Raw genomic sequence first — 23565 nt, 5'->3', positions numbered from 1 at the left:
GAAGAACTTCCTTTAGCATTTATTTTAGTGAAGATCTGCTGGCAACAAATTTTCTTTTTTCTGATCTTCTTATTTTTTATTTCTGATCTTCTTATCTTTTGCTTTTCAGTTCTAGCACTTACATTTGCTTATTACTCGTTTTCATTTCTCTGCTGTAGTTCTCTATCCGCCCATTTCATATGACCATCTTTTTCCTTCAAGTCTTTGAACTTAATTGCCTTAGAGTCCTTATGTGCTCATTTCAAAACGGGGTCATCATGGGGCCTATTTCTATTTGACTGCTTTTCCCTTGACCATGTGTCACATTTCTCTGTTTTTCATCTGATTGATAATTCTTATTGTATATTAGACATTGTGGATGGTACGTTGTGGAGCCTCTGAAGCAAGCGGGGCTTTGTTCTAGCAGGCAGTTAAATTACTGGCTGATCAGCTTGAACTTGCAGAGACTTCGTTTTCCATTTTGTTAATATGGGTCTATTTTGACTTCGTCTGTGGTCCAAAGCAAATCTCTTAGTCCTGGAATATGGTCTTTACTCCAGAGTTTCAATGGAAATCCTGTTTACCAAGCTCCTCTGACTTGGCAGTAGCTGAGGAATGTGCTGCGTTCTCTGTTTTTCATCTATTGCTTTTCACTGAGCTTGGAATCTTTCCCCACGCAAGCACACATCTAAAGTTAGCCAATGATTTGAAGGTGAGCTGGAATTTGAAGCCAGGCAGCCTGACTTGTGGCCTCCATGTGCTTAACTACCAAGTTGTAAGCACTAAGTTCTTCAGAGGAAAGGTAAAATGAACCCTTCCTCTTGCCCAAAAGAACACCTGCATTTGTTCATTCTAAACATCAAATTTTGTTGACATTTGTCAAGTAACAGACAGAAGCACATAAATATAAAAATATTAGTGTTTCGTAAGCATCTATATATCCCAGACTGTTGCATACATCACTACGTATTAACTCACTCAGTCCTTACAACAACTCTATGAGGTAGACACTTTCATTATACCCATTTTACTGTTAAGAAAACTGAGGCACAAATCATTTTAGTAATTTTCCTGGTTGCAGTGCAATGATAGGATCTCACACAGTCTGGCTCCAGAGCCTCCAAGTTTCAAAACTGCATTATACGGCCGCTCACTGAAATAGGGCTGAATGGCTGAATTAAGTATCCATTTTCTGACTCACCAAACAGCTTAGTAGCTCCTGGTGTGAATCTAGGACAGAGCAAGGATGTGATCTTTCTGTTCTCACTCTAGGAAAGTCTTTGTTCCTGCTGCTGAGAGATTTTGTCTTGATACCAGATAAGCGATCTTTGCGTTTATTAGAATTATCACAAACTGGCATTGTGTGGACTGCAAAATGCTGGGTGTCAAAAATTATTAAAATGTGGAGCACCACATTCACCCACCTGGGCCACTTCATGTCAGAGTGCCTGACACACACCTCATTAAACTTCACCTTTCTTGTGTATATAACTGATTAATGAAAGACCCAGAGGTCTCAGGAGTGGGAGTCAATCAATTAAAAATTGTGTGCGGTGAGGCCACCGTGTCCCAGTGTGACTGACAGAGCAGCTATCTGCACTGCAAAGAGGTATTTGCTTTTAATTAACCAAAGGCAAGCAGGACAGGATGCTTGTGCTGGTACGTTGACGGCAGGAAGCTGGAGGGCCTGACTGTGCCGTGTGAGCTGCAGAACACGGGCTGTGGCTCAAGAGCAGCAAAATATGGTTCATGGCATTTGCAGGAGAAGGTGAAATAACAGAAGGGCCTGATTCCTCATGGATTCTTCCTAGAGAGAAGTCCTGTTACCAAGTTAATCTCGGGAGGGTAAACAATGCAACTACAGGGAAATGCTTGTCATTTCTCACTTCAGGCAGGTGGCATTCGCCTCACTCACAGCACCGTGGAAGCACGCAGGGAAAATGAGTCTCCGATTTGTTTCACAACTGTAAATTCAAATCCATTTTGTGATCATTGTGTTTGGAGGATTTATTTTACAAACAGTAACTAATAGAATAATGAGTGAGGGGTGAGGGGAAGCGTTTCCTTTTTAAGAAATGTATCTACAAGTAAATGACTATTTACTTGTAGACTATATATATATAGTATATATAGTCTACTATATATAGTCTACTAGGGGAGGAAAGCAGAACCTAAAAACCTCCAGGGGCAGAGAGGACCCTCGACCCAGATCCAGGGGGCCGCTGAAGCGTCCTCTGCTCCAGCCTCCTTCCCTGCGCCCTGCCCTGGCCTTCCCTTGCCTGTCTAATGAGAGGTCTGGAGGGCGGGGGCCATTCTCACTGGCAAGGCGGATACAGGAAGAAGCAGGATGGCCTTCAGTTGCTTCATCTTCTCACACTGGGATATTCCCAGCAGACCCGCTGGCCCAGGAATGGCCTTGCCCCTGTGTCTTGTGGAGGGCACATCCTCCCACAGGGTGGGGCATGCGGAGCCGATGCTTCCCCAGAGGCCAGCTGGGGGGCCACGTGACGGTCTTGGGGCCTGACCTAGCGTGAAATCCAGAGGTCAGACCTCTGGTTCTCTTGCATTTTTGTTGACATTCAGCACTCTGAGTGTCACTTTTCTCATCTGTAAAATGGGCACGTTAATTCCTACCTCATCAGAGCTTTGATGCAGTTAAAAGAGAAAGTATGTGTAAAACGCCTTAGCATGTGCCTGACTCCAGGGCAGAGATCAGAAAAAGCCCTTCCCGCTCCGCTGTCCCCTGGTTTACTATTATACAGACTCAAGGAGACTGGTACCTGGGGGGTGGCGGGGGTGGTAGGCAACAGCCCTGCCTTATAACTTCTTTCACCTGTGAAATGTTTATTGCATGTTCATCATTTGTCAAATATTTATCAAATATTTATACTTTTTATATGTATATTTATATATGATATATATTCATATATCATATATATTTATATATGATATTCATATATCATAAATATATATCTATATATTATATATTCATATAGTATATATCTATATATCATATATATTCATATAGTATATATCTATATATTATATATATTCATATAGTATATATATCTATATATTATATATTCATATAGTATACATCTATATATTATATATTCATACAGTATATAATATATTCATATAGTATATATATTATATATTCATAGAGTATATATATTATATATTCATATAGTATATATCTATTTATATATTATAAATATATATTCATATAGTGTATAATATATATTCATATGGTATATATCTATATATTATAAATATATATTCATATAATATATATCTATATATTATAAATATATATTCATATTATATCTATATATTATAAATATATATTCATATATATTTATATATGAGTATATATTCATATATTATATATATTTATATATTATATATTCATATATGAATTTATATAGTATATGTATATTTATATATTATAAATACATTTATATAGTATATGTATATTTATATAGTATATATTTATATATTACATATTTATATAGTATATGTATATTTATATATTCTATATTTATATAGTATATGTATATATAACATATATTTACATAGTATATGTATATTTATATATTTACATATTATATGTATATTTATATATTATAAATACATATTTACATATCAGATATTTACATATTGTAAATATATATTTATGTATTATGAATATAATTTATATATTTACATATTATATGCATATTTATATATTTATAAATATATATTTACATAAATGCATATTTATAATATATAACTATGCATATATGTAAATATGTAATAATATATAAATTATATTCATAATATATAAATATATTTATAATATGTAAATATGTATTTATAATATATAAATATACATGTAATATGTAAATATATATAATTTATAAATATACATATACTATGTAAATTATTTATAATATAAATATGCATATACTATATAATATCTATACTATATAAATATATTTATAATATATATACATATAATATATATATTCATATATGAATATATATAATATATAGATCTATATGAATATATAATATATAAATATATAATATATGTATATTTATAATATATAGATATATACTATATGAATATACATTTATAATAGATATATACTATATGAATATAATTTATAATATATATGAATATATATAATATATAGATATATATGAATACATAATATATAGATATATAATATACGAATATATAATATATAGATATATAATATACGAATATATAAAATATATAGATATATAATATATGAATATATAAATAGATATATAATATATGAATATATAAATATATAGATATATAATATATGAATATATAAATATATAGATATATAATATATGAATATATAATATATATATTTATGATATATGAATATATAATATATAAATATATATGAATATATATAATATATAAATATACATATTATAAAAAGTATAAATATTTGATAAATATTTGACAAATGATGAACATGCAATAAACATTTCACAGGTGAAAGAAGTTATAAGGCAGGGCTGTTGCCTACCACCCCCGCCACCCCCCAGGTACCAGTCTCCTTGAGTCTGTATAATAGTAAACCAGGGGACAGCGGAGCGGGAAGGGCTTTTTCTGACCTCCGCCCTGGAGTCAGGCACATGCTAAGGCGTTTTACACATATTTTCTCTTTTAATTGCATGAAAGCTCTGATGAGGTAGGAATTAACGTGCCCATTTTACAGATGAGAAAAGTGACACTCAGAGTGCTGAATGTCAACAAAAATGCAAGAGAACCAGAGGTCTGACCTCTGGATTTCACGCTAGGTCAGGCCCCAAGACCGTCGCGTGGCCCCCCAGCTGGCCTCTGGGGAAGCATCGGCTCCGCATGCCCCACCCTGTGGGAGGATGTGCCCTCCACAAGACACAGGGGCAAGGCCATTCCTGGGCCAGCGGGTCTGCTGGGAATATCCCAGTGTGAGAAGATGAAGCAACTGAAGGCCATCCTGCTTCTTCCTGTATCCGCCTTGCCAGTGAGAATGGCCCCCGCCCTCCAGACCTCTCATTAGACAGGCAAGGGAAGGCCAGGGCAGGGCGCAGGGAAGGAGGCTGGAGCAGAGAATGTTTCAGCGGCCCCCTGGATCTGGGTCGAGGGCCCTCTCTGCCCCTGGACATTCTTAGGTTCTGCTTTCCTCCCCTCTGCTTGGTGACCTGGCCCCTGAGGGCTGAGTTAGAGTGAGGACCTGGGAGAACGGGGCCGAGGCAGTGTCAGCTGTAGGACACGTGGCCCACAGTGGTCTGCAGCATCTGGACAAAAGGGACCCTCGATGCTCTTGTGCCCCAGTACCATCCACCCGGCTCCTCTGTGGGCTCACAGCCAGCAGCCTTATGGCAGCACACCAAGGGCTCTTGCCCAGATGTGGTGTGTGGTGGTGTAGACAGCTAGTCCAGGTGTCAGCAGAGGTGCCTGGCCAATTTCTGTAGTTCATAAAAGGTATGTTTCTGTAGCTCATAGAAGAAGACTTCTCTTCCTGATTAATAACCCAGACAAAGACATTGCTGCTATTTGTGGTTGATTTAAAACACACACACACACACAGAGAGAGAGAGAGAGAGAGAGAGAGAGATGTACAATTAGTGTAATACATATGTTAGTCTCATTTTACAAGGTGAATATCAGTAAGGATAACCCAAGGCCTACATCTGGCCCCTAAAACAGGGCTAATCAAAAAGGAGGGGGAGAGGAAAGAGAGGAGTAAGGACATGGGGAGAGGGACACAGGATTTAGCGGCTCCAGTGCAGCCTCGGGTATGGACACGGTGGGAGGCCAGTGCCCTGAGTCTTGAGTGGGTCGTCCATGAAGAGGCCAGGCTCACCTTCCACTGCGTGCGGACGCAGCTGCAGGCTGAGGAGCGACATGCACATAGGCTGCAGAACCTTTTCTTTTTTACATAGACTATTTTTCAGAGCAGTTTTCGGTTCCTGGCAAAAGGGAGGAGAAAGTGCAGAGAGCGCCCACATAGCCTGCTCCCACATAGGCAGGGCCTCCCCACTCTCCCCGCCCCACAGTGGGCCACACTGACCATGTGCTACAGTGAGGAACACAGACAGACACCTCACTAGCGCCCAGAGTCCATCAAAACCCACTGTGGGTGGGGATGCCGGCGTCTGTACGGCCAACGAGGCCTCTGCCATTGTTTCCCCTGCCTGGAACATCGGTGTCAGTCCTGGGAGGCCACGTCAAACCAGACACCCGGGAGGGGCCCAGGGTGGGGAGGGAGCCTAGACCCCGACACATAGGAAACTTCTCGGAATTCAGACACATGCACCTGCAAAGAAAGAAGGAGAAAAAAGAACACAAAAGAAAGGCCCCTAGACCAGGGTGGGCCATGTAGCCGGGTCCAGCTGTGTCAGAGGCTGCCGTGGGAAGGGGACTCCCAGGAGGAAGGCAACAAGAGAGCCAGGCTTCTCCAGGACCCGGGATACATGTCCCACTCCACCTGTCCAGTGACGACAGGGAGCACCCCACACAGGGAGGGCATCAGGCTGTGGAGGCCCCGGGCACTGTGTGTCAGTCAGGTGTGGAAACACACTCTGCAGGCTGTCAATCACCAAAAACACAGAGTGGCATCCGCAGGTGTTGTGTATCAGGCAGTGGGGACAAGGCGGGACCAGGGTTTGATGCCACGAGCATTCAAAATGTTTAGGCAACCCAGAAACACTCGGGGTGGGGGCGATGGAGGTACCTTGGGAAGTTGAGAATGGCTTTGCACACAGGCTTCTCCAAGCTGGCTAGAGTCCATTCCACCTGGCGAGAATTCATTGGCCATAGTGTGGTGGGCAGTGGGCTGGGGAGGAGACGGGGCTTCAAGAGTTAAGTTCAGGTGGTTTGTAAGCCTGACGCCCCCCACCATCCAACACCTTCCCATTGAACACAGTCTGGATAAGCACTAATTGCATCAACATGTTCCTGTTACTAGCACCAACCTGCCCCCCACACACACACATGCACACTAATACACTCACACACATGCACACACATGCACACATGTACACACTAACATAAACTCATACACACACACGCACACATGTGCACACTAACATACCTCATACTAACATACGCACATGCACACACATACATTGACACACACACACATTGACCACAGACATACACGCATGTCCCCTCCTAGTTACTGTGCCCAGTCTTTCCTGTGAGCCCCTGCATCCCAGCTCCTCTCTAGTTCTTTGCTTTGCCTCAGTTTACCAGCCCAGCCAGGCTTCTCATTCTAGTATACCTCTGCCCTTCTTTTGATGATCATCTATGGTTTATATCCAGCTAATTGCAGTGAGGACTTGAAGTAACCTCCGCAAGTACATAAAAGGTATTACAAGGAAATAGAAACTTAAAATGTAATTTTTAAATAGTGGAAATGCAGGCCAAAATGTCATATGAAGTATTTAAACAGAATCCAAGTGACCACAGTATGGGAAAGTGAGCCCCCTCCCCCTGCAAATAAGCCTTACGCCCCTGCACCCTCCCTAACCCCTAACCCCGCAGCACCTCACTCAGCGACACCCATTCAGACACAGGCAGCTGCACCCTCCACAGGCAGGGACCGTGTCTCCCAACTCCCAGACACCCCTGCTTCCCACCACAGAGCTCTCAGATGCTCCGTAAATATGTGTGGGATGAATGAATGAATGAATGAGTTTCAGCCGAGACACATCAGCTGAAAAAAATAGTAGCTGTTTTTTTTCCTGCAGTTCTCCTTGGCAAGCAAAATAGGATCCTTTCAGAGAGAACCTCCAAAACGTCCAGGGGTCATCTGGGCAGAGCATCTTCATAACCCATGCATGCCGAAACACAAACAGGTTTTAATTGAGCCATTATCCCCTGAGAATCTAATTCTGATGGTGAATGTTTGACAGTGTTTCTTTGGAAAATACAAAAGATCAAGCCCATAAAATGCATGTGGATAGAGACGTCTTTAGTTGTTTGCTAGAACTTCCTAGAATTTGAAAAGGCACACGGTGGAAATTTGTCTTTATTTCATAATTGACACACAACAAAAACCCTCTAGTGATATTTGATAGTAGCGAAGAGCCCTCTACTGGCAGGTGACGTGAACTACCCGACAGAACTCTGGAAAGTTCAATTACGAATTAATTAATGTAATTGTCCGTGACCTCAAACTATCTGTGGGTAATTTAAATGAAGCCTTTTCATAGCTAAATGAAAATTAGAAAAGCAAAGGATACCATTTTTCATTAGCAAATTGGCAGAGAGTTTTTTACTATTAATACTTGTCGAGGAGAAGAGTGTAGAGAGCCAGAGCCCTCATTTATTCCTGGGGAGAGTGTAAACAGATGGAACCCCTGGGGGGGCAGTGTGACAGTACGCATAAAAACGACACGCACAGAATGTCCAGGCCCCTCCACCTGGAAGCCTCTCCTGGCAGTCATTCTAAGGAAATTCTCAGCCAGGTGCCCTAAATAAGTACTATTTGGGGTAGTAAAAGATGGAAACCATCTATACATTCAAAACCAGGGGATTAATTAGAACCGTAATGCTGGTGCTTCCTGTTAAAATGATAACGGAGAAATAACTTTCATATGACATGAACAAGGCAGCCCGTAAAGCAGTATGTGTTGAACAAGATCCCATTTTCGTAAAGGATCTGTAAGGACAGGAAGTGTTCAACGGTTGATTCTAGGTGGAGGGAGAAGAGGTGTTGTTTATGCCATTCAGTATATTCTGAGATTTTTACTAAAGAACACTGCTTTTCCACAAACTCTAAGGGCAGATTTTATTCCCAGCAGATGCGCCTGCCAACATTTCTTGTCTGGCCTGCACACTTCCTGCAGCAGCAGCCACCCTATCCCCCAGTGTCTGTGGTGCAAGGAAGATGAGCCCTTCTCCTCCCAGCCCATCCTCCTGCCTTCTGTCCCTAGCCCACGCTATCCCCAGACATTTCCTGGGCACTGACTACCCCATGCGCCACGTCCTCCCCAGGCTTACTGTCTGCCCGTCTTTGTGAAGGAGCTCTCCCTGTCACCTGGCTCTGTTCCCTCCACTCCCCGCCAAGGCCACCAGTGACCTCCTCATTACCAAACTCTCTGGCCAGCACAGGCCACCGCTGGCCGCCCCCCTCCTGCTCATTGGCCCCCTGGCTTCGAGGCTAGCTATCGCTCCAGACCCATCCCTTCTATCCACGGCTGCTGCCCCTTGGCAGCCCGGACCTCCTCCTCTATCATCGTCTTCCCTGTGTGGCCCCGGGCTCTCTGTCACCCTCTCCCGGCCTCATCTACTGTCCCCCTTTACTCGAGAATTCCTTCCATCCATTCTTGAGGCGTCCACTGCCATTGCTGTGGCCTCGGAGGCCCTTTCTGCCCTTGCCTCTCTCCTCTTCTCTGGCCCCAGCAGCCCTCCCTGCCTGCCCTGCTGCCCAGGGGCTCATGGCAGCTGGCACTGACCCCCTCATTACCATCCACTGGGCATCTAGCATCGAGACCCCTCCTGCAACCCACAACCCACTGTCATTGAGGCTGGCCAGTCCTGCCCTCCCCATCCTGCCCTGCCTATCCCCCGCTGCGGGCTCTCATCTTCTCCCCACAGCAGCCCCGCAGCACCTCCCTGCCTGGGCCTTGTCCTCACTGTGCCCACCGCCCACACCTGCCTGCTCCCCAAGGCCAGCACAGCTCCCACCACATCCTCCTCTACACACTCCCAAGAGGGATTTTTCTGTAACATAAAAAGGATCAAAATTCTTGATTAAAGTCCTTTCCAGGACTTCCACAGCCTCCAGGATACAAGCAACCTCTGTAGCATGGCCGTGCACTTTTCTGACCCCTTCCAGAAGTGCCAGGTGCTCCCCATGTGCCCCAGGTGAGGATACCTCACCCTGTGCCCTGGCTCCTGGCCCAGGAAGGGTGCTTCCCCCTCTCCAGACCATCTGATCTTCTGGAGATCTCGGAAGACCTGTCTGCTTTAACCACTGTCTGCGGTCTCCGTTCCTGGTTCCCCCCACCCGCCCACTTCTCCCACTTTCTGTCATTGGTGCCCCTCACTGACACCCTGATTTCCTTGGAGCACCCTCAACCTCAGGTCTGCTCTCCCTTACCACAGGTGGGCTCCTGGAGGTCAGGGACCCTGCATTATTACTCTTTGTGACCCTGGCACCTAGCACAGTGCCTGGCATACCAAGCTCTTCTGTAAATGTCTTATAAAGGAAGAAATGAAAGAACAGCCTTCATTCTACGTTCAGGGCCAAACATAGCAAAACCTGCCTTTCTTCCCCATGGCAGTCCTTCACACGTTTGAAAACAGCAAACTTACCAGCCTCAAGTCTTCTTTTCTCCAAGAGAAGCAGCCTCTGTCCCTTTCATCCCTCCTGGACGAAGTAGCTTCCGCTTGACACTGCCCCAGTTTCCATGCCCATCTTCTTTCTGGCCAGACCTGAACATGGTCACCAGGGGTCCTGTGACCAGCAGGCCCCTCAGCTTCCCCAGGGGAAGGTCAGGAAAGCCAGAGATCCGAGCTCTGGAGGGCAAGACAGTGATGGTTTTAGCATTCTTCCTGCTGGGATGAAAGATGGTAGCGGATCAGGTAGCGGTACAGGTCAAGGAATAGGCATCCCATCTCCCCTGGCAGTGTGGCGGCCGCCTGGTCCATGCAAGGGCTTGTGGGTGCTGGGCAGACCCAGGTCCCGCTCCCACCTCCAGCACTTACCAGTTGCTGAGCCAGCACATGACTCATCCCTCACCTGGCTCTGCCTCAGCAGCCTCATCTGTGAAAGGGGAGAGCCGCTGGCTGTGCTTGGCACACATGGAGCATGTGTCCGGTGAGGATGCAAATGGTGTCCTGGACGCCAGAGCACTTTGCAAATGAAGTCAGTTGTATCGTTATCCTCATCTGAGAACACTCTTGGGAAGCGTTCTCTGTCTTGTTTGGTAATAATTGAGCCCTTCCAAACCACATCACTCCAGAGTGCCCTGTACAACCCTGTGTGCCCCCAAAGCTGCTGAACTAGGGAGAGCAATTCCTTCACAGGTGTGTGTTAAAAATTCAGGAAGCATGGAATTCCCCCATTAGTTCTGAAGGAGCTACACGTTAAAGGAACAATCGCTAACTTCACAGTCAACAGAATGGAGCCGCCGTTTTCAAAACAACTGATTTAGAATCTGATGCTGGAAACAAGATTGTGGGTCTCAAAATCATTCCAAGTTAGGGCGACTCCTGTTTCAAGGCTGCGCAGCTTAGTTTGTTAAGAGCAAAAAGAGAAAAGTTAACGCTGAAATACTTGGTATTCACATCTGCAATTCCCATCTGGGTTGAGAAAATAGAGGCCCCAATAGGCACTATGGAAAACCCATTGCTTGCCACGTGGACATCGCGAGAAGTGATCCACAGCAGCCACGAGTGCAGTCAGCTAAGACAAGAGACGGTTGCTTTTGTTTTTGTTTTTAACTTTTATTTTAGGTTCAGGGGTGTGTGTGCAGGTTTGTTACATAGGTAAACTCGTGTCACAGGGGTTTGTTGTATAGATTATTTCATCGCCCAGGCATTAAGCCCGGTACCCAGTAATGATTTTTTCCACTCATTTTCCTCCTCCAAACCTTCACCCTCAAGGAGGCCCCAGTGCCTGCTGTTCCCTTCTTCGTGTCCATGCATTCTCACTGTTTAGCTGCCACTTATAAGTGAGAATAAGTGGTATTTGATTTTCTCTTCCTGCATTAACTTGCTAAGGAAAGGATAATGGCCTCCAGCTCCATCCATGTTCTTGCTAAAGACATAGTCTCATTCTTTTTTATGGCGGCATAGTGTTCCATGGTGTATATGTACCACATTTTCTTTATCCAATCTGAAGAGATAGTTGTTGATGCGAAGATGGTTTCTCCATTGGATTCAGTTCTAAAACTGAGATTCTTAAGAGGTACTGAAAAAAAATAAGATCTTGCCTTTGTTATTACAAATTATCTTTACGAAGTATAAACCTTTTACATACAACGTCTCATTTTCTTATTTACTTTTGGAGCTGGAAGTAGGGAAGCTTTTGACTTAAACTCAAAATAGCTGTAAGGGAACAATGGCCCCTTGGAGCTTGCCCCCTCCTCACTCTTCAGCTCCATCCCTTGGCAGCAGTGCCCAGGCCATGTTGGAAGGAAATCGGGGGCTTGCACCAAGGAGCTGAGAGAATGGAAGACTTGGAGTTGAAAGGGATTAGGAAGTGCCATGAATAGACTGTGGGGTTGTTAGGTGTCGGGAATGAGACAAGGGTGGATACCCAGGCCTCTGGCTTGGGTAGGAGCAGAGTCACGCAGGGAACGGGCAGGAGGCAGGATGGAGGGAGGGAAGGTGGCCTTCTGAGGCTTCAGTAGGCAGGCACCATGTGGGGATGGGAAACTCTGGCCTGGAGCTCTGGATGTGCATTTGGTTGTGGTCAGCACGTAGAGGCCAGCTGAAGCTACCAGAGTGGTTGAGATCAGCCCTCAAGGTGGTATTGAGAGAGTGCAGAGAAACCAGGGCAGGGTCTTTGGGAACCTGTGCATAAGCCAGTGCATAGTAGACATCTGTGCTTCCGAGCGGGGCTTCCTGACCATGTCTGCTCTTCAGCATCATCTGGGGAGCTTTCAAAACTGCTAACGCCAGACAACACCCCAGTCACACCAGAATCTCCAGGGCTGAGACCCGGAGGTCGTACTTTCCAAAGCTCCCCTAGTGATCCCAGTGAGAAGCACTGAATTGTCAGGGGAAGAAAGAGGCTTCCCTCTCTGGCTTGTGCTCCGCCCCCTCCTCACTTACCTGCTACTGTGAGACTCTGCACACAGGGGTCTCTTTTCTCCAACTTCCAAGCATGTGTTTTTGTCAACACCACGTGGTGCTGTCGCCCCTGACTGGGTGCATTTCCCGGTTGGAGTGACCCTGTTCGGACCGGACCCATCCCATTCCTCTTCCTGCCCTTGCTGCTCTAGCAGAGGGTATGGTGCCCAGCCGGGATCAGTATAGATCAGCTCAGTGTACAGCGTCGAGCTCCATTTCCAAAGGCCCTTGAGCCCACCCTACATTTTCTCCTGGATTTCCCTCCTGTGGCAACTTTCTCCTGCACACTGACTAGAACTCCGGATTGCCAGCTCAGAGACCCCTTCGAATCTACATTTTATGCAAAAGCTTTCTTTGTAGAAGCACAGAATGTTTAAGCTGGAGAATCACTTAATACTTTGCTGTGATCTACTAGAGAGCTGATTTTATTAAACGTTCTTTTAAAAATCAAAGATGAAGAGAGAAGACGAGAGAGTTCCTTTATCCTGTAGCATTTTGTCTGTTTCATTGATGAAAGCTCGGGGGCAAAGCGCCCGGCTTGGTGTTTCTCCTCATCAGCTAGTCTTCTTGGCTAGGCTTTGAAATAGACTAGCTCCTCGAGTCCACTGGCAGGTGCTATAGTTAATAACCTACTCATTGATTTGAGATTTGAGATTTTGATTTTTTTTTTTTTGCCGTAAGTTATTGGGGGTACAGGTGGTATTTGGTTACATGAGTAAGTTCTTTAGTGGTGATTTGTGAGATTTTGGTGCATCCATCACCTGAACAGTATACACTGCACCCTTTTTGTAGTCTTTCATCCCTCACCCCCCTCCCACTCTTCCCCACAGGTTCCCAAAGTCCATTGTATCATTCTTATGCCTTCGCGTCCTAGTGAGAACGTACGATGTTTGGTTTTCCATTCCTGAGTTACCTCACTTAGAATAATAGTCTCCAATCTCATCCAGGTCATTGCAAATGCTGTTAATTCATTTCTTTTTATGGCTGAGTAGTATTCCATCATATATATATATATATATAGCACAGTTTTTTTATCCACTCGTTGATGGGCATTTGGGTTGGTGCCACAATTTTGCAATTGTGCATTGTGCTGCATGTGCAAAGTATAAACATGCATGTGCAAGAATCATTTTTGTATCTTTTCCTCTGGGTAGGTACAGTAGTGGGATTGCTGGATCAAATGGTAGTTCTACTTTTAGTACTTTAAGGAATCTCCACACCGTTTTCCATAGCAGCTCTATGAGTTTACATTCCCACCAGCAGTGTAAAAATGTTCCCTGATCATGCCAAAAAATAAAATCCTAGTGGCAAGGCCAAAATAAAGTGCTCACAAATGCAGATCACCCCCACATTCAGCAGAACGAAGGGTGAGAGGTCTCGTGCTCTAGGTTGCAGTCAGCCAAGATCGTGCCACTGCACTCCAGCCTGGGTTTTCTATGTTAGCATGCTTCTGGGGTCTTGCGTCCCTTCTCTCCTGATTCTTCCCTTGGGGTGGGCTGTCCGCATGCACAGTGGCCTGCCAGCACTTGGGAGGGAGCATGCATGCACAGTGTGTTCACTGGAGTTGTGCGCATGCTCACTTGAGATGCTCCTCCCTTACCAGTCGAATGTCCCTAGAAGGTCATAGGCCAGTTAAATTCCACCGTTTTGCCTCTTAATGCACATGGTTGAACCCACTCGCCCAACCCCTGAGATCTTATTGGGAAGCTGCTGATCACCCACTTCCGGTGTTTCTGTTTATTGGGAGACTGCCTTTCGCTAGTGCTGGCTGTGACCAATGATTATTATAGAAATACAGAAAACAACCACCTGCCCATCATGGGATGGTCACCTGACATTCTTGGTGTGTGTATGTATTGGAAGGAGCCTTCTCCTGCCCTGCTCATGCCCGACTAGCTCCCCACTGTAACATAACCACCTACTCGTCTCAGTTCTCAGCTCCGAAGCAGAGGTCCTAGGGCTGGCCCCTCACGCTCGTGGTGAGAGTAGATGAGGGAACCCGCATAGGCTGCCTCAGCTGCCAGCACAGATTGTAGCCCCCAGCCTGGCCTCCAGTCCTGCTTCTGCCACACTGGACCTGTATGACCAGGGCCATCAATTAATGTCTGCAAGCCTCAGTTTCCTTGTCTGCAAACAGGGATGATAACAATGGTTCATTGTTATCTGCTTCATAGGGTTCAGATGAGATGAGCAGTTTATTCCACATGTGCTAAGGCCTCCAGGAGGAGGCAGCGCCAGGTGTGTGCTGGCTCTGACCATGTGTGATGCTGGGCACAACATAGGTGGCTGATGCCTGGCACATGTCTGCCAACTCATTCACTGCAGTTATCACACCACACTGGCTCAGGGATCACGATTAAAATTTGGGATTCTGAGTTCCTAAATTCTGTGACTCTGGGTCTGCAAAATACCTATCAAATGGTGCTTGGCTGGCACTCTTTTCTCTCTGAATGTCCGTGTGTGTTGGGGCCTGGGAATGCAGCCGGCCCAGGCGTTGGGCCAGCGCAAGGATCCAGTTCAATCAGTGCCCACTTCTGCCTTTGAAGGCGCATAATCTGCTTTATAGCCCTGACTTGCCACTTCGTACATAATGACAGGGAGGCAGACACAGTAGAGTGTCCCTAGCGATTTTTCCATCACTCACTGAATGACTGTCTTGGTTTAAAATCATGCCTGCTGCCTTAATGATGTTTTAAGAAATATAAAAATAGGAGTACATAACGCTGTATTCACCATGGCTTTTATCTGTCACAATTTCGCACAAAGCACAAATTGTTGCAAAAATACCTGAACTTCGCTATCACAGGGGTGCTTTGAAGAGATTGTTAGGTGTACAGCAATTATTCATGGGCCCAGGGTAAGTCCCATCCCAGCTCTGTCGCGAGGCCCTGCTTGTCCAGAGGGGCTCGGAGCCACCTTTCAGGGGGAGCCTAGGCCACAAAGGCACAGCCAAACAGAGATGAACAAATAGCCTCGTGGGGGCCCGAGTGCTGAAACGGTTTTTCTCATGGTAAGCAAACTTGAATAAACCCGGGAACGGCCAGAGGCGGTAATTAAAACTCGTGGCCCAGTTCTCCATTCATTTTCAGCAGAAAACTGTGGGTTTCTTTCAAGCCAAACTGAGAGGATGTTGAGGTCCTAGAGCAGAATGTTTGTCCTCAAGCTTGTCCTGCCTGTCAGAACAGGACTGACAGAGGAGCGGTTGGGGGGGGTGGGGACTTGTCCTGCTGTGAAGGAAGGGACGTGGTGGGGCAGGTTGTAGCTGCAGAACACATTTCTGTGCCTGTGCAGCAGAGCTGATGAGCCGCACGGGGAGAGCAGGTGCACACCTGAGAGGGAAGCGCGTTTACAGCCAGGGCTCTGCACACCCCAGAGGGAAGCGCATTTACAACCAGGGCTCTGCACACCCCAGAGGGAAGCACGTTTACAACCAGGGCTCTGCACACCCCAGAGGGAAGCACGTTCACAGCCAGGGCTCTGCACACCCCAGAGGGAAGCACATTTACAACCAGGGCTCTGCACACCCCAGAGGGAAGCGCATTTACAACCAGGGCTCTGCACACCCCAGAGGGAAGCACATTTACAACCAGGGCTCTGCACACCCCAGAGAGAAGCACGTTTACAACCAGGGCTCTGCACACCCCAGAGGGAAGCACGTTTATAACCAGGGCTCTGCACACCTGAGAGGGAAGCGCATTTACAACCAGGGCTCTGCACACCCCAGAGGGAAGCACGTTCACAGCCAGGGCTCTGCACACCCCAGAGGGAAGCACAGTTACAACCAGGGCTCTGCACACCCCAGAAGGAAGCGCATTTACAACCAGGGCTCTGCACACCTGAGAGGGAAGTGCATTTACAACCAGGGCCCTGCCTTTTCCTCTGCAGGTGGCTCGACAGCTCCAGCCCTCCGTGGTGTGGATTGAAGACACAGAAAAAACCTTCTACAAAAAAGTTCCCAACGCAGAAAAGATGGTGAGGACTTTCTCATGCCTTACTTTTGCCTTTTCTTTCCTCCAAAGGAGGCCCTTACCAAGGCCTACCTCTACTTTTTGAGAAGGTCTTGCCTTTTCAAGCGAGGAAGGAAACACTGGGGCTCTCTGTAGTGGTCTCTGTCTGCCCTAACTGTATTTGAAAGGGTTCTGTGGTCTGACTTTATGAGACATAGTTTAGAAGGAAAGAAAGTGTGGAAGAAAGGGGAGAGGGATTTTCCACCCAAACATACGATTCAGAGGTAAGAAACAATTTAGAGAACTCTGCTCAGTTAAAGCAAATGGCACACATAGGAGTTATTATTAGGATTTCCTATTGTTCATCATAATAAATAGCAAAAGGCCCACAATTGATGAACAAAGACCCTCAGCAGAACTGCTAAGTGCACCACATTCGGGCCTCCAGGGAGTCCTTTTTCAATTGCTTCCTTCCTTCTTTTCTCTCCTTTCAATGGTCCCCCTCCTCCACCACTTCCCCCCACAAATCACCAGCAAATTTCCCACAAGTTAAAAAAAATGTGCAGATACACGAGATTGTTATTCCACATCAATTTGCACCAAAGCAAATAGTGGTTAACTGTGAATTTCTGATTAAATTCATAAGGATTTTAATCACTTTTGATCCTTATGTATTATACATCACTTTTCGCAGGTAGAGATGATTTGGATAAAGAGTGGAAGCTCAATCTTTTCTTCCCCAAATGAGCCTTGATTGCCCTGTCATTTCAGAAAGTCTTCAGAGAACTCATTTATTATTTAATCTGGGACTCTTGTAGTTCACTCCCTCTGCTGGCGAAGTTGCTGCATTGCAGAAAAACTTGAAAAGGTCCACAAGTAGGTATGCAAAATGGATGGCAGGAATGACCGGGTTCTCCACCAGGTCCCACGTCTAAGAGAAATGCAGGGCAGTGTTTCGTCTCACGTGTCACACACCTGGAGTTATCAGAAACCTGGCTCATTCATGGGCAGGGGCTACTCCCTCTCCCACCAGACATAAGCCTGGGGAGTGGAAGACACTGGCCTGGAACTCAGGCCAGCAGTGAACAGCATTCACACAGCTGGCTGTGTGTCCTTAAACAAGTAACTTAACCTCTCTGAGCCTCCGCTTCCTTTACTATTAAATGAAAGCATTTCAGCCCGCACGGCCTCTGAGTTCATGCAGCCCCCTGCATTCTCCCACAGTGCCCTGGGCTTGCCATCAGTGCTTGCGGCTGCCTGCTCACTGCACATCTGAGTCTGGGAGAGCAAGGGGAACGGGAATGTTCCTCCTGAGAGAGCCAGAGGAGCACTGGGGAAGGAGCGCTGAGAGGGGGCCTCTGAGAGAAAGCTGGAGGCAGGGAATGAAATATACCCTGTAGACACCCTCGCATAAAGGGAGTGGATGTGAGGGGAAGGAGGCGCGCTGAGGAGGGAGCTGAAAGCCGTGAAGAAGCAGCCGAGCCTGCGGAACCCTGCCTTGAATCAGCCCTTGTGCTCCTGACACAGAGCGAACCTCTCAGCACCATCCCCGATTCCCGCAAACCCTGCCCATGCCTAGCTTTGTCCCTGTAGGAAATGAAGGCCACTGGAGGCATGGTCTTTGCTGTGGATGAACTGGACGTTTTCTCTGTTCACTTCCCATTAGAGGAGTCCGTCGTGTGTTGGGGAGGTCAACTGCACTGAGGACCAGGAGTCACACCCTGGGATAAGTCCTAGGGGACTGCAAGCCAAAGGGCACCCTGGCTTCCTGAGCATCTGCAAGGCCGGCGAGGGGACCTGAGCCACCCCAGACTCAGAGCTGCAAGAGGCATGAATGCCATCCTCCACCTCCCACCCCCAGTATTTCCACCCCCAGCTCCAATGCTGCAGCAGGAGAGGAGCGGGGGAGGAAACCATTGCGTGTGCATGCCCAGCTCTACACGGAACTCCAGCTCCACTCGGCCTGCACCGTGCAGTGATGGCATTGCGGGGCCTGCCCCTCAGGGAGCAGGGCTGCAGAGTTCCTGCTGCCTTCCTGCGTCTCCAGAGCCATGACTGGGCCAGTCCTGCTGTCCTTCCCAGCCTCTGAGACTCTGTGTCTCACCCAAGATCCTCTGCCACCAGGGCCCCAGGTGGCCATGAGCATTGGACGTCCACATTCTGAAGGTGACCAAAAGCCAAGGGCAGCAGAGGCATCCACAGGTGAGAGGAGCCCAGGAGGCATCGTAACCTGCTCCTCATTGCATCACTCAGCCACCTAGGGAGCCTAGTCCTTCCTCCCACCTGCCCCGGCCTCTGTCCCAAAGGCTGCCCTGATCCCAAGGGCACAGAGGCACAGAGAAGAACATCCAGGAGGCTGGCACTCCACCAGCTACGGGTGCCATACAGGCAGCAGGGCCGACCTTGCCCTGGGGTTGAGGGACTCCGGGAAATCCCCTTGAAAATCCAGTGACTGAATGCACCCTCCGGCCCCTCTGCCTTTGGGTGAGGCCCCTCCCGCAATAAGAGGCAGGAAGCTCACCCGGGGATTGGGGCATGGCGAAGATCAGTGACGCCACCCGAGCATGGAAGCCAAACTTCCCGGGCGCAGGGACACTGTTGCGGACAGGAAAAGGAGGACCCCGGTGGCGGTGGGGGACATCAGTTGAATACCTCCTCTTTCCCAAGCACAATACATATGTCAGGGAAACTCCCGGCAACCCTGAGAGGAAGGCATTGTTTTCCCTGTGACACAAAAGAGAACAAAGGCTCCCAGAAGGCGCACAGCTGCTCTCGGGTCATGCTGGGATTCAGAAACAAGGTTGCCAGAATGGGGCCTTCTCCCCACCACACACAGCACAGGCTGGAAGACATGGGGGGGAAACCACCAGCTTCGCCTTCTGCCCATTGGGTCAGCCCTCCTGGTGCACCTAAACCACACCGCATCCCTGCGGCCCTCTGAGCCCTGGGGCCACTCCAAACATCATCCCAAAACCTGCCTTTGGGGCCCTCTTGTCTTAGAACCAAATGGGCCCTACTCCGGAATTCTCTGTCCTCCTGCACACACTCCTGTTCCCCTCACACTGTCCTCAGCAATCTTTGAAAGAACCCCTCACACCTCTAGAATTTCAGCAAAGTCCAAACTCCAAGTACCTCCACTCCAACCCCTGCCACTTTTACAAACACACCCCTGCCCCCTGCAGACGCCTGGACCAGGCCCGCTCCTTTCTCCTCCTCCTAGGAGAGTAGCGTCTCCTCCCACCTGCGCCTCGAGTGCGCTCAGTCAGTTGTTTGTATCTGAGGTGAAGGCGGTAAAGAATGAGGCGCACGGGCTGCTCCTGCATTTTCTGCCCCATTACCCTTTGTTACTTCATCTAGCAAGCGCCTCCCTGACATCACGATAGTGCCTCTGCCAAGGAATCGCTGCTTTCTTGGGGCTGGCTGTGGCGGTTGTATTGTGGAGCTAACTGCAGAATAGCAAATTGAAATTGCTGCGTGGATGCTAGCCACTAATTTGAAATTGCCCAAAGTAATACAGTTGTGAGGGGCTGGCAGGCCCCGCGGTAGGGGCGGCGGTTTTGGAGGTGGCCAGGTGATCATGGGGTGGTTTGCTGGCATGATGGATGAGTGCACAGGTCTCGTGCATAACAGACGGCTCTGCACTGGAATGGGGGTGGTCTGAGTGTAGGGGAACTACCAGTTGAATGACACACCAATTTCTGTCCCCTGTTCATGGGACTGCACCTCACCATCAGCAAGGATGTCACTCTGGACATTGCCCAGAATCAACGTTTGTCATCCAGATAGGCTGATTCATTTCAAATGTCCCTGCCATTTCAGGACAGAAAGGTAACAGTGTCATCTCCTGCCTCAGAAAGGGCAGGGATCACACTGCCATCACCATGGCAACTGGGTTGCTGAGGGTGGGCTCAGACCATGCAGGTGTGTCTCTACCCCCATGGATTCTCAGTCTCCAGCCTCACCAGGACTGTCAGATCAGTCCTACTTCCACTGTTCTTTGGGCAGCTCACATGTGCACCCCAAATGCCCAGTCACTCCCACCACCTGCTTTGTTCTTTAAGGCAAGTCTCTTCTCACCACCCTACTCACCCCTCAACCCACCACCATCGGCTTGCTACCCCCACCACTCTATAGAAATTGTTCTCACAAAGTTCTTAGGGCCAGGCACGGTGGCTCACACTTGTAATCCCAGCACTTTGGGAGGCCGAAGCGGGCAGATCACTTAAGGTCAGAAGTTCGAGACTAGCATGGCCAACATGGCAAACCTTGTCTGTATTAAAAATACAAAAATTAGCCGGGCATGGTGGTGCACACCTGTAATCCCAGCTACTCAGGAGGCACAAGAATCACTTGAACCCAGGAGGTGGTGATTGCAATGAGCAGAGATTGTGCAACTGCACTGCAGCCTGGATGACACAGTGAGACTCTGTCTCAAAAATAAAAGAAATTGTTCTCACAAAGTTCTTTGACACAAGAAGTGCAAGACTTTTCTGAAAACTACAAAAACGCTGAAAAATTTAAAGGAAGCCTAAATAAATGGAAAGACATTTGTATTCATTGGTTGAAAGACTTAATCTTGTTAAGATGGTAATAATTCCCAAATTGGCCTACATATTCAATGCAATTCCCATGAAATCTCAGCCAGCTTATTTGCAGAAATTGGTAACTGATCCTAAAATTCATCCAGAAATTCAGGAGATCCAGCCAAAACATTCTTCAAAAGAAAAATAAAGTTGGGGGACTCACATGTCCCAATTTCATTTTCCAACTTACCACAAAGCTACAACAATCAAGACAGTGTGGACTTGCCTAAGAAGAGACATAGATCAATGGATCAGAATCAGGAATCCAGTAATAAAGCCTTACATTACAGTTCGTTTTGACAAAGGTGCAAAGACAATTCAATTCAGAAAGAATAATCTTTTCAACAAGTAATGCTGGGACTGTTGAATTGCTGCCTGCAAAAGAAAGAGTTGGACCCTTACCTCACGCCATATACAAAAATCAACTGATAATGTATCAAAGACCTAAAAATAAGGGCTAAAACTAGAACACTCTTACAAGAAAATATAGGCATAAATTTTGTGACCTTAGATTAGGCAGTTGTTCCTTAGATATGACACCAAAAGTACAGGCCACAAAAAGAAAATTGCAACTCATCAAAATTAAAAACTTTTTTGCTGCAAAGGACATCCTCAAGAAAGTGAAAAGACAACCCACAGAACAGAAGAAAATGTTTGCAAACCATGTAATATTGAGGGACTTCTATCTATTAATAGAACCTACAAAGAACCCTTACAACTCAATAATAAAAAGACAAATAACCCAACTTTTAAAGTGGGCCAACAATCTAAATACACATTTTTCCAAATAAGATACACAAATGACCAATAAGCACATGAAAAGACGCAGGAACATCATTAGCCGTCAGCCAAATGGGAGCAAAAATGGCCTCGACTGTGCTTGGGAAGTCTCTGCAGAGGCTCTCACCATTGCCCCTGGTGTGCTTCTCCTTCCCCGGCTTCCTCTTTGCTGTCTGCACTGGGGGCGAGGTTCGTTTGCAGCCAGGCTGTTGCCCATGGCAACATGGTCAGATCTGACTCCCACGGGCTGGAAGTCGTCCTCCCTGGGGTGCTGAACAGCCAGCCTGTTCTCGCTCATTCCTCTCCCTCATTAGTGCTGAGATTATACTAAAATAATTCAGGTTCAAACTATTTCCCAACTGCTTCAGAGAGATAAGTTTCACAGCCTTATGTAACCAGGTATTTTTCAGACATGAGATGCAGGAGCTGGGCTCTTCATTGTTCCAGCAATCAGCAAAGGAAGTCTTGTGTCCAGCTTCCAAACAACTTAGGAAAATGGGAGCACCACAGCTCATTACAGGTCCGAGTGAGCTTCCTTCCGTTTGTAAATCAGCCACCACTTCCCATTCCTAGGGCCAAGGTGCTTCCTTCCTTCCCACCCTCTAAATCTGGACACCAGAGGTTGAGGAAAGGAAACACTGACAATTAAAATCCACTGGGTCATACTGGGAAGCACATTCCGAGACCCATCCCAGGACAAACCTTAAGAAATTGTGTTTGTCAGAGCTTTGCAATCACTTTAACAAAGGATGCTGCAATGCATCCTAAGTAAATTTTCTTTCATTTTTTCATTCTTTTTTTCTATATGTGGACCAATTTTTTTTTCTCTCTCCCAGAATGAACCTAAACGCCTGAAAAAACACCTTCCCCAAATCCTGAAACTCCTGAAACCAGATGACCGGATTCTGATTGTGGGGACCACACGGCGTCCCTTCGATGCTGAACTCCAATCTTTCTGCAAAGTTTACCAGAAAATTATTTTGGTGCCCAGACCAGACTATGCTTCCAGATACGGCAAGTACCCCCAGCCCCTTCCCATGCATGATAGCTGAGGCTGGGCTGTCCACTGTGTGCTTGCCAGGAGGGCGGCCCTTGGACCCGGTGGGCGCCAGATGAGTTGAGGGGAGCCTGCACCCGGTGGGGTGTGTGCACCTGCACCCAACACAGAGCATGTGCTGCAGATATAAACCACTAGGTCACGTTCTGTTCTTAGCATATATCTCTCTACCCAAGACAAAAGGAAACTGGACAAGGATTATGATTTCTGGCCCTGACAGTGACAAAAGCCTTGTGGGTGCTGATTTTTCTTGGGACGGGTAGATTAAGATCACTCACCTTGCACCCATGGTGATGGTGTCTTCCTCATAGAGTGTAGTTTCTTTTCACCGGGTTGGGTTTTTTTTTTTTTCTTCCAGTCTCAAAGTCCACTTGTGTAATGATTTACTTAAAATGAACATTA

At 46.8% G+C, this 23565-nt stretch overlaps 1 protein-coding gene and 1 long non-coding RNA gene across 13 annotated transcripts in view, besides 5 other annotated features; one reads left to right on the top strand and one right to left on the bottom strand.

Moving 5' to 3' along the window:
• The window catches only part of DRC11 (dynein regulatory complex subunit 11), a 200792-nt gene that overhangs the window by 146152 nt on the left and 31075 nt on the right, over nucleotides 1–23565 (top strand). For 9 of the 10 annotated variants that reach the window (XR_007081589.1, NM_001270584.2, XM_047445852.1 and 6 more), the window contains 2 exons: nucleotides 16682–16768; nucleotides 22943–23120. Coding sequence is in view for 8 of the 10 variants with exons in the window: in NM_001270584.2 (NP_001257513.1) it covers nucleotides 16682–16768; nucleotides 22943–23120 (265 nt within the window). In the remaining 2 variants the exon portion in view is untranslated. Of the gene's footprint in view, nucleotides 1–16681; nucleotides 16769–17561; nucleotides 17624–22942; nucleotides 23121–23565 lie in introns of all 10 variants that reach the window. The other variant, NR_073043.2, reaches the window with a different exon arrangement.
• Nucleotides 4994–5579: an enhancer, noted in NCBI's record as "H3K27ac-H3K4me1 hESC enhancer chr2:237264389-237264974 (GRCh37/hg19 assembly coordinates)". NCBI's record gives its function as "activates a minimal SCP1, AML or CMV promoter by ChIP-STARR-seq in naive and primed H9 embryonic stem cells {active_cell/tissue: H9 hESC(naive and primed)}" and the evidence as "EXISTENCE:reporter gene assay evidence [ECO:0000049][PMID:30033119]".
• Nucleotides 5192–23507, bottom strand: LOC105373945 (uncharacterized). 3 transcript variants are annotated; one of them, XR_007088138.1, is made up of 5 exons: nucleotides 23442–23507; nucleotides 10313–10555; nucleotides 6060–6824; nucleotides 5853–5958; nucleotides 5192–5538 (listed from the first exon to the last, which is right to left on the bottom strand). It is a non-coding gene; the product is annotated as an uncharacterized LOC105373945 (long non-coding RNA). The 3 variants fall into 3 exon arrangements; XR_001739947.3 differs by having other exon boundaries at nucleotides 5192–6824; XR_001739948.2 differs by lacking the exon at nucleotides 23442–23507 and adding an exon at nucleotides 10706–17169 and having other exon boundaries at nucleotides 5192–6824.
• Nucleotides 8644–9143: an enhancer, noted in NCBI's record as "H3K4me1 hESC enhancer chr2:237260825-237261324 (GRCh37/hg19 assembly coordinates)". NCBI's record gives its function as "activates a minimal SCP1, AML or CMV promoter by ChIP-STARR-seq in primed H9 embryonic stem cells {active_cell/tissue: H9 hESC(primed)}" and the evidence as "EXISTENCE:reporter gene assay evidence [ECO:0000049][PMID:30033119]".
• Nucleotides 9144–9645: an enhancer, noted in NCBI's record as "H3K4me1 hESC enhancer chr2:237260323-237260824 (GRCh37/hg19 assembly coordinates)". NCBI's record gives its function as "activates a minimal SCP1, AML or CMV promoter by ChIP-STARR-seq in primed H9 embryonic stem cells {active_cell/tissue: H9 hESC(primed)}" and the evidence as "EXISTENCE:reporter gene assay evidence [ECO:0000049][PMID:30033119]".
• Nucleotides 17961–18875: an enhancer, noted in NCBI's record as "H3K27ac-H3K4me1 hESC enhancer chr2:237251093-237252007 (GRCh37/hg19 assembly coordinates)". NCBI's record gives its function as "activates a minimal SCP1, AML or CMV promoter by ChIP-STARR-seq in primed H9 embryonic stem cells {active_cell/tissue: H9 hESC(primed)}" and the evidence as "EXISTENCE:reporter gene assay evidence [ECO:0000049][PMID:30033119]".
• Nucleotides 18876–19790: an enhancer, noted in NCBI's record as "H3K27ac-H3K4me1 hESC enhancer chr2:237250178-237251092 (GRCh37/hg19 assembly coordinates)". NCBI's record gives its function as "activates a minimal SCP1, AML or CMV promoter by ChIP-STARR-seq in primed H9 embryonic stem cells {active_cell/tissue: H9 hESC(primed)}" and the evidence as "EXISTENCE:reporter gene assay evidence [ECO:0000049][PMID:30033119]".

Source organism: Homo sapiens, chromosome 2 (assembly GCF_000001405.40).
Source record: "Homo sapiens chromosome 2, GRCh38.p14 Primary Assembly".
NCBI classification, from domain to species: Eukaryota; Metazoa; Chordata; class Mammalia; order Primates; family Hominidae; genus Homo; species Homo sapiens.
The sequence above is the reverse complement of the archived record's forward strand: the minus strand, read 5'-3'. Positions and strand labels throughout refer to the sequence as shown.